The sequence below is a fragment of the Homo sapiens genome, chromosome 7 (assembly GCF_000001405.40).
Source record: "Homo sapiens chromosome 7, GRCh38.p14 Primary Assembly".
Lineage (NCBI taxonomy): Eukaryota > Metazoa > Chordata > Mammalia > Primates > Hominidae > Homo > Homo sapiens.
The window spans coordinates 55,871,670-55,887,849 of NC_000007.14; the positions used below are offsets into that span (position 1 = coordinate 55,871,670).

General features: G+C 46.8%; 1 protein-coding gene and 1 pseudogene across 2 annotated transcripts in view, besides 4 other annotated features; both read left to right on the forward strand.

The window, feature by feature from the left end:
- Window positions 6,250-9,072, forward strand: LOC101409255 (cell division cycle 42 pseudogene; annotated as a pseudogene).
- Window positions 15,478-15,817: an enhancer, noted in NCBI's record as "active region_26042". NCBI's record gives its function as "activates an Ori minimal core promoter by ATAC-STARR-seq in GM12878 lymphoblastoid cells {active_cell/tissue: GM12878}" and the evidence as "EXISTENCE:reporter gene assay evidence [ECO:0000049][PMID:35858748]".
- The window catches only part of ZNF713 (zinc finger protein 713), a 54,770-nt gene continuing 54,376 nt past the window's right edge, over window positions 15,787-16,180 (forward strand). For both annotated transcript variants that reach the window (NM_182633.3, NM_001366796.2), the window contains exon 1: window positions 15,787-16,011. The gene's annotated coding sequence lies outside the window, so the exon portion shown is untranslated. The remainder of the gene's footprint in view (window positions 16,012-16,180) is intronic.
- Window positions 15,932-15,970: a tandem repeat, named in NCBI's record as "fragile site, folic acid type, rare, fra(7)(p11.2)".
- Window positions 15,933-15,968: a repeat instability region, noted in NCBI's record as "repeat instability region; expansion of the (CGG)n trinucleotide repeat may be associated with autism spectrum disorder". NCBI's record gives the evidence for it as "EXISTENCE:Southern hybridization evidence [ECO:0000078][PMID:25196122]".
- Window positions 15,938-15,987: a silencer, noted in NCBI's record as "silent region_18191". NCBI's record gives its function as "represses an Ori minimal core promoter by ATAC-STARR-seq in GM12878 lymphoblastoid cells {active_cell/tissue: GM12878}" and the evidence as "EXISTENCE:reporter gene assay evidence [ECO:0000049][PMID:35858748]".

A 16,180-nucleotide genomic window follows, 5' to 3' on the forward strand; every position in this document is an offset into this window, starting at 1 on the left:
GGGATGATCTGCGCAGCAAACCACTGTAGCACACATTTACCTATGTAACAAACCTGCACATCCTGCGCATGTACTTAAAATAAAAGTTGGAAATAGAAAAAAAAGTACAGAGCTAATCATGAATGCAAATGGCTTTGGGAGGGCTCACGTGTCCACTTAAAAACCTGCGGCAACACCACAAAGCCAAAAATGGATAATTACCACACAGAAAGAATTGCTGGAGAGATTGACATACCTGAGATGTCTGGGGATGGCAAGGAACAAAGAAGGGCAGAAGCTATCAGTATCAGCCACAGAGTAGGTGTCATCATGGTCCCCAGTGGCCTGTTCTGCAGAGGACACCAGCATTGCCACTTAAGTAACTAAAAGCCATTGCCACCGCATACCTCCTGGAGAGAAAGCTGCTACTGTGCCCGCTAGAAAGCCACTGTTGTACCATCCCGGCTGGAGCCACCAATCCCCACAACCCTAAGCATCCCCATACTAGAGTCAAAGCTGCCCCATGTGTGTCCATACTCCAGTCCCAAGCTCTGTGGCTGCACCGTGCATACCTACATTCGAGGCACCAAAACCACCACCACAGCTGGTTAACCCCACCCCAGGTCATGAAAGTGTGGTCATTCTGCACATCTGTGCTCCAGAGTTCAGTTCCACCACTGCTCCATGAGTGCCCACGTCTCAGACATCAGAACCACCTCCACAGTGAGCTAGCCTGCACTGAGGACCCTGGACTCATTGTCATTCCATGCATGCCTGTTTTATTTTTTGGTTTTATTTATTTATTTTTTTGAGACGGAGTCTCGCTCTGTCACCCAGCTGGAGTGCAGTGGTGTGATCTCAGCTCACTGCAAGCTCCGCCTCGCTGGTTCACGCCATTCTCCTGCCTCAGCCTCCGGAGTAGCTGGGACTACAGGCGCCTGCCACCACACCTGGCTAATTTTTTGTATTTTCAGTAGAGACGGGGTTTCACCGTGTTAGCCAGGATGGTCTCGATCTCCTGACCTCGTGATCCGCCCGCCTCGGCCTCCCAAAGTCCTGGGATTACAGGCGTAAGCCACCGCGCCTGGCCTATTTTTTTGTTTTTGTTTGTTTGTTTCTTGAGACAGAGTCTCACTCTGTCACCCAGGCTAGAGTGCAGTGGTGCAATCTTGGCTCACCACAACCTCCACCTCCCGGGTTCAAGAGATTCTTGTGCCTCAGGCCAGGCATCTTGGGCACTGATGCCACTGCTATTATTACATATAGGTATAAGTTAACCGCAGCCATTTTTAGTCTCTTGTAGTCTACCAGTAGCTTTTTGTCTTACCCTAATGATTGCCTGAAAGCACTTGCCATCACCTACAGGCTATGGTATTTCATCTTAAAAAAAGAAGCACTACAGGCTGGGCGCCATGGCCCATGCCTGTAATCTTAGCAGTTTGGGAGGCCGAAATGGGATGCATCACCTGAGGCCAGGAGTTTGAGACCAACCTGGCCAACATGGTGAAACCCTGTCTCTACTAAAAATACAAAAATTAGCCAGGCGTGGTGGCATACGCCTGTAATTCCAGCTACTTGGGAGGCTGAGACAGGAGAATTGCTTGAGCCCAGGAGGCAGAGGTTGAAGTGAGCCGAGATTGTGCCATTGCACTCCAGCCTGGGTGACAGAGCGAGACTCCATCTCCAAAAAAAAAAAAAAAAAAAAAAAAAAAAAAAAAAAAAAAAAAGCAGCAGCGCTATCTCAGATCTCAACTGAAAAGGATTGCACCAGGTACTTTGGGGTACCAGCTTCTGATGGCATCACTTAAATTTGAGACTCTACCAGTAAACAGAGTCACAAATTCCGGAATTCTAGTTAAGAAGCGGATGAGTCCTGGAGACTACTAAATTCAAGATAGAGCATAACAAGAATTAATTACACAGAAATGAGTGAGCTGATGAGTAATGACTTTGTTATTTGGACTCTTGCTGATGTTCCAATGTTCTACTTTTTGCATATATAAGAAACCTCTTTTTTCTCTTAAGATATCTATAACATAAAAATTTAATAGTCTATGCTTTTGTAAACGGAAGTGAAACGTTTATATATATGTCTTATTTTCCCTGCCTGGCTCCTCCAGAATTTGAAAACCCTTATGTTGGGGTGATCAGACCCAACGCCAGGTAATGGGGCCGATGAAGTCCGGCAGAGTCAAAGGAATGAGAAAAAGACAGTTTGAGAGAGTAAGTGGGACCAGGGGGCCCTCAGGAGTGTGGAGAATGAGAAGGCCCTGAGCCCTGGAAGCCCATGCTATTTGTTGGTGCTCAAACAAACAGGTAGTGAGGATGTGGGGGTTGAAAGCAAACAGTGTATCAAGTGAATGATACATATGACTGCTTGAGATAATGGGAGTGCTAGAAGCAAGGAGCCAGCAAGTCTAGCAGACTTGCAAGCCCTGCCTCAGCTTTTCTCCCAACACCCTTATTTTCTTATTTTCATGGCCTTACAATTATTTGCATAGGTTCAATAAGAATCTATACTCATTGTTACCAGAGCGTAATTGGAACTTCAGTTATTCCTAAATTTGACTTTATGGAGCCAATGCTTACTAGCCCAGTTTCTGGGTTATAGGATTCAGAGCTGGGCAGACAGAATAATGCCCATCACCCCCAAAGATGATCACATCTAAATCCCTAGAACCTGTAAGTATCTTATCTTACGGGGCAAAAGACAGTTTGCAGATATGATTAACGTTAAAGATCTTGAGCTGGGGAGATTATGATTAAGGTTAAAGATCTTGACTTGGGTAGCCTACACGGATGCCATTGTTAGCAGATCCAGGCAAGCCAATTCTTGGCCCACAGGTGGCTTGCTTCAGCACAGGCAGTGGCAGTGGTAGGCCAAGCAGATGGGCAGGTTCTCGGGCCCCTGAGCAGCATGCATGATGTTGGCAGTGGCAATAGAGGGGGCAAGCCAACCCTTGAGCTCCCTGGCAGCAATCACTGGTGTTAGCTGCAGTGACGATGGGGTGGACGGGCCACTCCCTAGGCCCCCAGGTGGCATGTGAGGGTGAGTGCCCGCAATGGGAGTGGTGGCAGGGTAGGCAGGTCTGTCTTCAGTCCCCTGATAGGAATGCACAGATGCCAGAGGGGGTAGGCACGGCAAGGCAATCCCCAGACCCTTGGAAAGTGCATTTGGCACTGGGGCGATGGCATCAGCTGTGGCATGCCCTTCCTCAGCCCCCCCCCCCCATGGTGCCCATGGGTGCAGGCTGTGTTGCATGGGGCGGTGTGATCCCTGGGCCCTGGGACTGCATGCTCCTGCACCATCAGCAGGCCAGCTGGGTCTTTTGTCAGACCTACTGATGGTGTGCACGTGTGCCCAGGGCAACAGATGGGTGAGCAAACCCTACGTGATCCCCAAGGTGGTCTCCAGGTGGTGTGCTTGGGTGGCAACAGCTGCAGTAACAGTGGGCAAATAAAGCCTATCTTCTGAGCCTGGGATGGCATCTGTACCTGCTGGTCCCCAGGCTGTATGCTGTATGCTCTATGCAGTATGCAGCAGTTCTGTTGCAGGGGGTCGGGGAGCAGGGTTGCTGTCAGTGGCGGCAGTCCTAGGCAGGTAACTCGGAGCACGTGCTTTAGCTGCCTGTGTCCCAAAGGCAGCCTCCCCCATTCCCTGAAGTATATAAGACACTGTGTGGGCTACAGTGCTGGGGACCTGGCCGCAGGGTTGGGTCCAGCTGGTGTTACATCACTGCAGCCGTCCAGGAGGACATGAGGGGGATGTCAGTGGAGCTCCAGGAATGTGGAGACGCAGGAGTTTTTGGGCCCCAGGGCAGGATGCAGTCCGGCAGGTGCTTGCTCTCAAAATGGTGTCCTTGGAGGCTAGACGCAGTGGCCCACGCCTGTAATCCCAGCACTTTGGGAGGCCAAGGCGGGTGGATCACTTGAGGTCAGGAGTTCGAGACCAGCCTGTCCAACATGGTGAAACTCTGTCTCTACTAAAAAAAAAATACAAAATTAGCCAGGCATGGTGGCAGGAGCCTGTAATCCCAGCTACTCAAGAGGCTAAGGCAGGAGAATCGCTTAAACCGAGTAGGTGGAGATTAGAGTGAGCCAAGATTGTACCACTGCACTTCAAGCCCAGGTGACAGAGTGAGACTCTGTCTCAAAAAAACAAAAAAATACTGCTCAGTAGTTTTGGGTTTCTTTGGGGGAGTGTTGGGGGGTTTGAGACAAGTCTTACTGAGATTATAGGCACAGGCCACCATGCCCAGCTAATTTTTGTATTTTTAGTAGCAACAGGGTCTCATCATGTTGGCCAGGGCTGGTTTCAAACTCCTGGTCTAAGGCAATCCTCCTGCCTTGGCCTCCCATAGTGCTGAAATTACAGGCATGAGCCACTACATCTGGCCTCTGTTTAGTACTTGTAATTAACATGCAATTACTGTATAACCCAGAAATTATATTCCTAGCCATCCATTTAATGTAAATGAAAGCATATGTCTACAAAAAGACTTATATAAGAATGTTAATAGCACCTTTATCAAAATAGCCTAAAACTATAAACAACATGTCCAAGAAGAGGGTGATAAACAATCTGTAGTGTATTTATTCAAAGAATACTAGTCAGCAATGGAGAAGGAGTTACTTATATATGAAACAAAGTGGATGAATCTGAAAGTCAAGATACTGAGTAGAAAAAGCCAGACACAAAATTGTCTGTACTATTTGATTTCATTCATGTGAAACTTCAGAAAAGGCAAAGCTATTCCACGGCAAGAGGAATTTGAACACCGTTTGCCATTAAGATGAGAAGGCTGACTTGAAAGGGGCCTGAAGAAACTTTCTGGATTTAAATGCTGGTAAAAGCTCATTAAATGTTGATTTTAAAAATAATGTCACACAAAGATAAAGCAAAAGTTGCCTAACAAATTACTTCTCAGAAACCCAACAGTGCTTTTTGTAATCGGTTTCTTTTTTTTCTTTTTTTTTTGAGATGGAGTTTCACTCTTTTTGCCCAGGCTGGAGTGCAGTGGCACAATCTCTGCTCACTGCAACCTCCACCTCCTGGGTTCAAGCAATTCTCCTGCCTTAACCTCTCAGGTTTTTCTTTCACATTTTCAAATGAAGATGGAGAGACCACTGAAAAACAGACTAGAAATACATCTGTCTGTGGATAACTCAGTGGTAGTAATCTGTCATAATCCTCCTGCCCTGCAGTATCAAAAAGCCCAAGAGTATATGGTTCTCCACCAATCATAACTGTGACTGCATAATTGTCAAAAACAGTCGGAACATATTCCGATGGAAATTTGTTTGTTGTGTAGGATATCTGGAGACATGTTTTACCAACAGCACCATCGCCCACAACAACACACTAATTGTCTGCATTGCTGAAATAGTTTTGTATCCACTTTAAATATTTCAAATCTGATGTTGACCTCAGCTTCTCCACGAGGGCGTTGGCAGCACTCCCTAATTTTAAAGCTTTCTACAAAGCTACAGTAATCAAAACTATGTGGCAGTGGCATATCAAAGGACAATATCAAGAAGGTGAAAAGGCAACTTACAGAATGGGTGAAAATATTTTCAAATTGTATATGCAATAAAGGTATGATATCCAAAATGTATAAATAACTCCTACAACTCAACAGCAAAAAGGAAAAATAACTAAAATGGATGAAGGACTTGAACAGACATTTTTCCAAAGAAAATATACAAACGGGAAATAAGATGCAAAGATATTCAATATTATTAGGAAACTCAAGTCAAAACCACAACTTTGTACTTACTAGGATGGCTACTGAAAAACCAAAAACAGAATATAAGTTGTGGCAAGGTGGTGAAACTGGAACACATACATTGCTGGCGGGGGTTGCGGCTGCTCTGAAAAACAGTGTGGCCATTCCTCAAAAGGCAAACAGGCCGGTTGCAGTGGTTCAAACCTGTCATCCCAGCATTTTGGGAAGCCGAGGTGAAAAAGTTAATTTTATTAAAGATTGTCCCCATTTTAAATAACACACAAAGTTTCAAAGTAAGAAACTAAACTCGTTATGGTTCATCTAGATATTAGTTTTTATAAAAATCATTTTAATTTTTCTATTACAGTCCTGCAGCAGAACAGTTCTTCCCTGAATACGAGAACCCAGAAAGGTACATTTTTATTTTCAACGTTCTGATATTAGTACAATTTGGACCCAAAAGTAATATGGTTATTCTGAACTTTTCACAACATAAATAACAAAATCATTGTAGAGAACATGTGTTTATTTTTCATGTGTGTAATCTTGCTTGCTGGGACCCAAACTGATCTCAAGAGATGATCCCTCTACTATTGAGAAACTTTCCAAGAACAAACAGAAGCCTATCACTCCAGAGACTGCTGAAAAGCTGGCCCATGACCTGAAGATTGTCAAGTATGTGGAGTGTTCTGCACTCACACAGAAAGGCCTAAAGAATGTATTTGACGAAGCAACATTGGCTGCGCTGGAGCCTCCAGAATCGAAGAAGAGCCACAGGTGTGTGCTGCTATGAACATCTCTCCAGAGCCCTTTCTGCATAGCTGGTGTCAGCATCACACTAAAAGCAATGTTTAAATCAAACTGAAGATTAAAAATTAAAATTCATTTTTGCAATAATGACAAATGCCCTGCACCTACGCAAATGCACTCATGTGAGACAGGCCCATAGGTATGGCCCCCCTTCCCCCTCCCAGGACTAGTTAATTTTGAGTAATAGTGTATTGTCAGAAAAGTGATTAGTACTAGTTTTTGTTTTGTTTCAAAAAATTTTTTTGTTATTGTTTAAAAGCAAGGCATGGGCCGGGCGCAGTGGCTCACACCTGTAATCCCAGCAGTTTGGGAAGCTGAGGCGGGCAGATCATGAAGTCAGGAGGTTGAGACCATTCTGGCTAACACGGTGAAACCCCGTCTCTGCTAAAAATACAAAAAATTAGCTGGGCTTGGTGGCGGGCACCTATAGTCCCGCTACTCGGGAGACTGAGGCAGGAGAATCACTTGAACCCTGGAGGTGGAGGTTGCAGTGAGCCGAGATTGCACCATTGCACTCCAGCCTAGGTGACAGAGCAAGACTGTTTCAAATTTAAAAAAACAGCAAGGCATGCTTGTGGATGACTCTGTAACAAACTAATTGCAATTGTTGAAGCCGCTCCCTGGTTCCACTCTGGAGAGTAATCTGGCACATCTTAGTGTTGTTGGTTTTTTTCTCCTCTTTTGGGGGGAGTGTGTGTGGGGTTTGTTTCTCAGTCTTGTTTTTTTAATTCATTAACCAGTGGTTAGCCCTTAAGCGGAGGAGGATGGATTGATTCCACATTCCACTTCCTAGATCTAGTTGAGAAAACATGTTCCCCATCTGGCGCTCCTAGGAAGGAGTATAGTAAATGCCTCATTTAATAACATACTCCTTTTTGAAAGTTGCCTTTTCTCTCCACCCTAGAGTAGATCCAGTATTTGATGAAACTCATGAAAGTGGGTGGAGCCTGTCTTGCCCCTCCTCTTTTCTAGGACGCACTGTATGTGACTGACTTTCAAGGACATTTGTTTGCCACTTGCTGATTTTTTGGGGAAGTTAATTTCTAACTTCTTTCACTAATAAATGAAGAAAAGTATTGCACCTTTGAAATACACCGAATGAATTGAGTTTGTAATTAAAAATTTTTTTCCTGTCAGTCATTGTCTTATATGCTTAGCATAGATTTGCAACTCAGTAGTATATGGTGTTCCTAGAACGCAGCTGAAGAACTGGTATGTAGAGGAAATATGAGGGGTGGGTGGTGCTAGAAGACAGACATCTGTGGAATGATTCACATCCTCTCAGGTTAGGAGGATGGAGGCCTGCTTCATTAAGAAGCTGGGCGTAGGGTGGGGGTGGGGAGAACACTTAACAACATGGGGGCCAGTCAGGGGAATCCTCTTATTTCTGTTTTGCATATGAGGAACCCTAGAGCAGCCAGATGAGGCTCTCTAGTTTAATAAAAATCATGGAAAGCCTCTTTTTTTTTTTTGACACGGAGTCTTGCACTGTCGCCCAGGCTGGAGTGCAGTGGCACGATCTCAGCTCACTGCAACCTCTGCCGACTGGGTTCACACTATTCTCCTGCCTCAACCTCCCGAGTAGCTGGGACTACAGGTGCCCACCACCACGCCCGGCTAATTTTTTGTGTTTTTAGTAGAGATGGGGTTTCACCGTGTTAACCAGGATGGTCTCGATCTCCTGACCTCGTGATCCGCCTGCCTCGGCCTCCCAAAGTGCTGGGATTACAGGTGTGAGCCACTGCGCCTGGCTTTTTTTTTTGAGACAGAGTTTCACTCTTGTTGCCCAGGCTGGAGTGCAGTGGCGCGATGTCACCTCACCGCAACCTCTGCCTCCCGGGTTCAAGCAATCCTCCTGCCTCAGCCTCCCGAGTAGCTGGGACTACAGGTGCCCACCACCACGCCCGCCTAATTTTTTGTGTTTTTAGTAGAGATGGGGTTTCACCGTGTTAACCAGGATGGTCTCGATCTCCTGACCTTGTGATCCGCCTGCCTCGGCCTCCCAAAGTGCTGGGATTACAGGTGTGAGCCACCGCGCCTGGCTTTTTTTTTTGAGACAGAGTTTCACTGTTGTTGCCCAGGCTGGAGTGCAGTGGCGCGATGTCACCTCACCGCAACCTCTGCCTCCTGGGTTCAAGCAATCCTCCTGCCTCAGCCTCCCGAGTAGCTGGGATTACAGGCATGCACCACCACGCCCGACTAATTTTGTATTTTTACTAGAGACGGGGTTTCTCCACGTTGGTCAGGATGGTCTCAAACTCCTGACCTCAGGTGATCCACCCACCTCGGCCTCCCAGAAGTGCTGGGATTACAGGCATGAGCCACCGCGCCCAGCCGGAAAGAGTCTTATGAAGACTCTCCATAAGTGTTAATAGGGATTTTAGCAGCTTATTTTGGTTGCAGTTTCTAATTTTTAAAAATGTTGAAGTAATCTTTTCCACCTTCCCAATCCTAATTCTTGTAGATTCATTATTGTTGAACCAATGCTTTCTCATGTCTCAATTCTTTGTGTATGCATTATTTTCAGATGTATTAAACAAACAAAAACCCTTCAAAAAAAAAAGCAAGCTTTGAAATGGGAAGTGTGATTCCTCTGACTTTGTAATTCTTTACAAGCTTTTGGCTATTTGGAGCCCTTTATAATTATTCCATATGGATGTAGGCATTGTCTTATTTATTCCTGCCTAAAAGGCTGTTGGGATATTGATTGGAATTATGTTGAATCTATAGATCACTTTGAGTAATCTTGACATGTTAACAATACTGAGTCTTCCTACCCATGACATGATGTCTTTGTTTATTTAGTCCTTCTTTAATTTATTTTAGCCACGTTGTGTTCTTTTTAGTGTATAAGCCATTCACCTCAGATTTATCCTATGTATTTTATTTTGTTTATTTTTATTTATTTATTTATTTATTTTTGAGACGGAGTCTCACTCTGTCACCTAGGCTGGAGTGCAGTGGCGCCATCCTGGCTCACTGCAACCTCTGCCTCCGAGGTTCAAGCTATTCTCCTGCCTCACTCTCTGAAGTAGCTGGGACTACAAGCACGCACCACCACGCTCGGCTGATTTTTGTATTTTTAGTGGACACGGGGTTTCACCATGTTGACCAGGCTGGTCTTGAACTCCTGACGTCAGGTGATCTGCCCGCTTCAGCCTCCTGAAGTGCTGGGATTACAGGGGTGAGCCACCGCTCCCAGTCTGTATTTTACTTTTTAGATGCTATGGTAAATGGAATTACTTTCTTAACTTTTTTGTTTATTTATTTCAATTGTATGGAAACATAATGGATTTTTGTGCATATGTTAATCTTGCATCCTGCAACTTTGCTGAATTCATTTATTAGCTCTAGTAGCCTTTTTCATGGATTCTTTTGGATTTGCTATATATTTGGGATATGTATTCTCATCTGCAAATAAATATAGTTTGACTACTTCCTCTCCAGTGTTGATACTTTTCATTTTTTTAAATTGTCTAATTGTTCTTGTTGGAAGTTCTAGTAGAATATTGAATAGCAGTAGTAAAACAGGGCATTAAAAACCTTCCAACAAAGTCAAGTCCATGAAAAAATGGCTTCACTGGTGAATTCTACCAAACATTTCAAAAAGAATTAACAGCAATCCTTCTCACACTCTCCAAAAGGGAAAGAGGAAAAAACAATTCCTAACTCATTCTGTGAGGCCAGTATTATCCAAATATTAAAGCCAAATAAAAACATCATAAGAGGCTAGGCATGGTGGCTCACACCTGTAATCCCAGCACTTTGAGAGGCTGAGGTGGAAGGATTGCTTGAGCCCGGGAGTTTGACCAGTCTGGGCAACACAGTGAGACTGCATCTCTACAAAAAATAAAAAATTAGCTCGGTGTGGTGATATATGCCTGTAGACCCAGCTACTCAGGAGGCTAAGATGGGAGAATAGCTTGAGCCCAGGAGGTTGAGGCTTCAGTGAGCCGTGATCGTGCCATTGCGCTCCAGCCTGGGTGACAGAGCAAGACCCTGTCCTCTGCTACCAAAAAAATAGTGTTTTGTTTTTAATTTTTTTAATGTTTTAATTGTATATATTTGCAAATTTTTCAGTTTTCTTATGCTTATTGATATCTGGCATCACTCCATTGTGATCACAAAAGATGCTTTGTATAATTCAGTATTTTTAAAATGTATTAAGGTGTGTTTTATGACCCAACATACGGTCTATTCTGAAGAATGTCACCCTTTCCCCCAAATTTTTGTTTGTTTAGTTGTTGTTGTTGTTGTTTTGAGAGACTGAGTCTCACTCTGTCGCCCAGGCTGAAGTACAGTGGTGCAGTCTCAGCTCACTGCAACCTCCGCCTCGTGGGTTCAAATGATTCTCCTGCCTCAGCCTCCCGAGTAGCTCGGATTACAGGCGCATGCTGCCACGCTAATTTTTGTATATGTTTTAGGAGAGACAGGGTTTCTCCATGTTGGCCAGGCTGGTCTCGAACTCCTGACCTCGTGATCCACCCGCCTCGGCCTCCCAAAGTGCTGGGATTACAGGCATGAGACACTGCGTCCAACCTTTTATTTTTTTGAGACAAGAGTCTCATCTCACTCTGTTGCCTAGGCTGGAGTGTAGTGGCTCGATCTTGGCTCACTGCAACCTCCTCCTCCCAGCTTCAAGCGATTCTCTTGCCTCAGCCTTCTGAGTAGCTGGGACTACAGGCACGCGTCACCATGCCCAGCTACTTTTTGTATTTTTGTAGAGATAGGGTTTCACTATATGTTGGCCAGGCTGGTCTTGAACTCATGACTTCAGGTGATCCGCTCACCTCAGCCTCCCAAAGTGTTGGGATTACAGGTGTGAGCCACTGAACCCAGCTTCAATACCTATTTGGCAGTGGCCAGGCCAGAACCTATCACTCCCAAGCCCAAGAATGCTCACTGACTCTTCCCTGTGAAGAAGCAAACCCTGGCTCTTGGATGTGGTGCTCTGGGTCTGACACCTCAGCTCTCTTGTGATGCCCCTGTCACTCACCCTCCCAGGATCACCTGCTATGCTCTTTGGTCACTTGCAAGGTCCTATATGGTAAGTTTACCTCTCCCTCTATCCCCCAAACAGAACACTCACCTTTGCTTGCTGAAATCCCAGTCAAATAGAGCACAGGCATAGATTGGAAGTCCTTCTTTCCAGGAAACCTTTCCTAACTCCTGTTAATTCATACTTAGTCTTCTTTCTTTTTTTTTTCTTCTTTTTTTGGAGACAGGGTCTCACTCTGACACCCAGGCTGGAGTGCAATGATGCGATCTCAGCTCACTGCACCCTCTGCCTTCCAGGTTCAAGCGATTCTCCCACCTCAGCCTCCCAAGTAGCTGGGATTACAGGCATGTGCCACCACGCCCTACTTTTTTATTTTTAGTAGAATTGGGGTTTCGCCACGTTGGCCAGGCTGGTCTCAACTCCTGACCTCAGGTGATCCGCCCGCCTCGGCCTCCAAAAGTGCTGGGATTACAGGTGTGAGCCACCATGCCCAGCCCGGTCTTCCTTCTTCCTGCTGCAATGAAACTTGATTTATGCTGATGCACCACCCTCAAGGCCCACAGAGCTGCACCTCGGTGTGTGTATGCTGCACGATGTGGAAAAGGCAGGGGCCCACGAGAGAATGGTCACCCTTTACACACCACACACACACATTGACTGATACATAAATACAAACAGCACACCACTGATGATGCACATTCCCCCAATGCACCACACAACCATACACCCCCCCACACACTCACACGCTTAGTGCACATGCTCCTCTCCACACAGACCATACACACCATCAGTCACACATTCCACCCCGCCACACACAAACACATGCATGTGCACATGCACACACTTACCACAGAGGACAGATACCACACAGCGACTCACACCACCCGACGTGCACACGAAAACAGACAAATCACACATCACTGTGGGCATGGGTTGCCTCAATACACTACACGATCACACTAACCATCCCCCAAATACAGACAGATACACACACGGAGAGCAGATGTTTGTCACACACAGACCACTACTGACACACACAAACACACCCACCCTGCTGAGGGCAGATGCCCCAACACACTCACACACACGCATACAGAGTGGGCTCTGGGCACTTCCTCAGCCTTGGCCTCTCCAAACCCACAAAGGTTGTCTTTGCATCCTGTGTCCTCCAACCCAGGTTCTGGCCCAGGCAGGGCTCTTCAGGCCACTTTAGCCTGTCTCACCTCCAAAACCCAAATTCTGGCCTGAGTCATGTCCCACTAAGCTCAGGCAACTGGATTGGGCTGTATTCACAAAGTCAGTCTAGGAACTAAATTTCCAGATGGTAGTCTGTTTTGCTGAGTAAGATATTCATGGTTGCCAGAACTAAAACTTTTCCTCACAATAGATAGTGATGCCCTCCTTCTCCACCCTCCTCCCTAGCAATGAGCAGCAGCTCATCGAAAGAGAAGCTAAGGGGCCGGGCACGGTGGCTTACTCCTATAATCCCAGCACTTTAAGAGCCCAAGGCAGGAGGATCATTTGAGGCTAGGAGTTTGAGACCAGCCTGGGCAACATAGCAAGGCTCCATCTCTACAAAAAATTTAAAAATTAACCAGGTGTGGTGCATGCCTCCAGCTACTCAGGAAAATGAGGAGGGAGGATTGTTTGAGCCAAGGAAGTCAAGGCGGCAGTGAGCTATGATGACACCACTGCACTTCAGCCTGGGCGACAGAGGGAGAGCCTGTCTCAAAAAAAAACTGTCATTTTTTTCTGGGAGACTGAACAGTTTCTGGTCACACACCACATGAGTCCTAAGATGAGGTACAAGGGGAGCCAAGAACCGCCTTCCAACGTATCCCACAATGAGTCTCCCCCTCCATCTCACTTATCCTGGTGGATCTTTGGCAAGGAATAAGAGCAATGAACTTCAAGTTACTTGAGTGAGCAAAATCCCATGGAAGTTAAAATATAATTCATTTTGTCTTTCATTAAAAAGTATCATGTCAATTTGGGTATGTGTGTGTGTGCATGTGTGTGTGTGTGTGTGTGTGTGTGACTTTTTTGAAGATGGAGTTTTCTCTTGTTGCCCAGGCTAGAGTGCAGTAGCGCAATCTCGGCTCACTGCGACATCTGCCTCCTGGGTTCAAGCAACTCTTGTGCCTCAGCAGCCTCCTGAGTAGCTGGGATTACAGGCACCCACCACCATGCCAAGGTAATTTTTGTATTTTTAGTAGAGATGAGGTTTCACCATGTTGGCCAGGCTGGTCTTGAACTCCTGAGCTCAAGCAATTTGCCCACCTTAGCCTCCCAAAGTGCTAGGATTACAGGTGTGGGTCACCACACCTGGTCAGGCAAGAATATTTTTAAAGAAGTTAAGAAAACCCTAATTTAGTATTAGGTTGGTACAAAAGTAATTGTGGTTTTTGCCATTACTTTTAATGCCAAAAACTACAGTTGCTTTTACATCAACCTTATATAACCTTATCTTAGTTGGTTTGCAGAAATTTGCAGTGGCTATATTTTCCAAGCTCAATCTATAGTTCTGGTAGTTCTGGTAGCATTTTTGGACCTCTATGCAAATGCAAAGCACATTTCTATATTTCAATATCCCTGTAACTGTGCAGTTGAGGAGTTCTCACCTAACCTTCAATTGGAAGTGATTAATCTGCCATATAATGACATGCTAAAATGCAAATTTCAAGAGAATATAACAGAACTCTATTCTTCCAAGCAATGAATATGCTCAAGTTAAATCATATGTTCATGGACGGTATCAGTGTTTGGCAGTACGTATCTATCTTAAAAACATTTTCAAAGATGAAATATGTAAAATCTCATTATAACCGGTAGAAACAGATGTACACAATTTTGATGCTGAAGAACACTAACTCTGGGGCCTAGCACAGTGCTGATGCCTGTAATCCCAGCACCTTGGGGGGCCTGAGGAGTAAGAATCCCTTGAGCCCAGGAGTTCAAGACCAGCCTGGACAACATAGTGAGATCCCCATCTCTACAAAAAAGTTTTAAAAATTAGCAGGGCGCAGTGGCTCAGGGCTGCTGTAATCCTGGCTACTGGGGAGGCTGAGGCGGGAGGATGCTTGAGCCCAGGAGTTTGAAGCTGCACTGAGCCATGATGGCACCATTGCCCTCCAGCCTGGGTGACAGAACAAGGCCCTGTCTGAAAAACAAAACAAAATAAAACAAAAAAAACTAACTAACTCCGAACTCCAATTAAGCAAAATGTTACGCCTAAAAAAATTCCATTCTTTGGCCAGGCGCGATGGCTGAAGCCTGTAAACCCAGCACTTTGGGAGGCCGAGGCAGGGGGATCACGAGGTCAGGAGATCAAGACCATCCTGGCTAACACGGTGAAACCCCATCTCTACTAAAAATAAAAATAAAAAAAAAATTAGCTGGGCGTGGTGGTGGCCGCCTGTAGTCCCAGCTACTTGGGAGGCTGAGGCAGGAGAATGGCATGAACCCGGGAGGCGGAGCTTGCAGTAAGCGGAGATCTCACCACTGCACTCCAGCCTGGGCCACAGAGCAAGACTCCGTCTCAAAAAATAAATAAATAAATAAATAAAATAAAATTCCATTCTTCGCATCAGTAGCATATACTATATAATGATATAATGATATCATTATTGTATTTTTTTTTGAGATGGAGTCTTACTCTGCTGCCCAGGCTGGAGTGCAATGATGTGATCTCTGCTCACTGCAACCTCCCCGTCCCGAATTTAAGCGATTCTCCTGCCTCAGCCTCCGGAATAGCTGGGATTACAGGCGCCCGTCACCACGCCCAGCTAATATTTGTACGTTTATTAGAGACGGGGGTTTCACCATATTGGCCAGGCTGGTCTCGAACTCCTGACCTCAGGTGATCCACCAGCCTCAAGCTCCCAAAGTGCTGGGATTACACGCGTGAGCCACCGCGCCCGGCCAATAACATCATCATCATTATATTTTGAGTTTCATCAATATGAAATTGATGGGAAGGAGGGGTGATTCCAGGACTGAAAGGAAGGCTTGTGTCGTCACCATGGAGATGGACAGTCCAACGCTTCTAATTGGCAGGGACGAAGGGACGGGTCCTCGGCCCGTCCCCCTCGTTCCTCTAGGACCGGAAAATTCTGGGAAGGCTCGAGGCCGCGGTCCCCGGGGTCCGCATAGTCCCGATGAAAAACAGACCCGGGAAAGCTGGTGGGAGTCAGGAGCCCCGGCGATGAGGATTGCGATGAAGGAAGCAGGCTCGGAGCGCCGCCAGCGCATGCGTATTGGGGATCTGAGGCCAGCGTCTTGCGCCGCCATTGCGGGGAGGCTGTCCTCAGAGCAGGTCTGGCGCGCCGGTGGCTGGACCGGCCCCAGGAGCCCAGTCACCGGGCGTCATTGGCTCAGGCTGCGGGGCCCTCGGCACCTTCTCCCTCCCGGGTCCACCGCGGCGGCGGCGGCGGCGGCGGCGGCGGCGGCGGCGGCGTCAGGGGGCGGAGCCTGCCGAAGCGCCCTTTGTCTGCGGAGGTGAGTGCGCGCCGGGAGGAGGCGGAGGCGGGAGGCGGAGGCGGGGGGCGGAGGCGGGGGGCGGAGGCGGGGGGCGGAGGCGGGGGGCGGAGGCGGGGGGCGGAGGCGGGGGGCGGAGGCGGGGGGCGGCGGGCGGCGGGCGGCGGGCGGCGGGCGGCGGGCGGCGGCG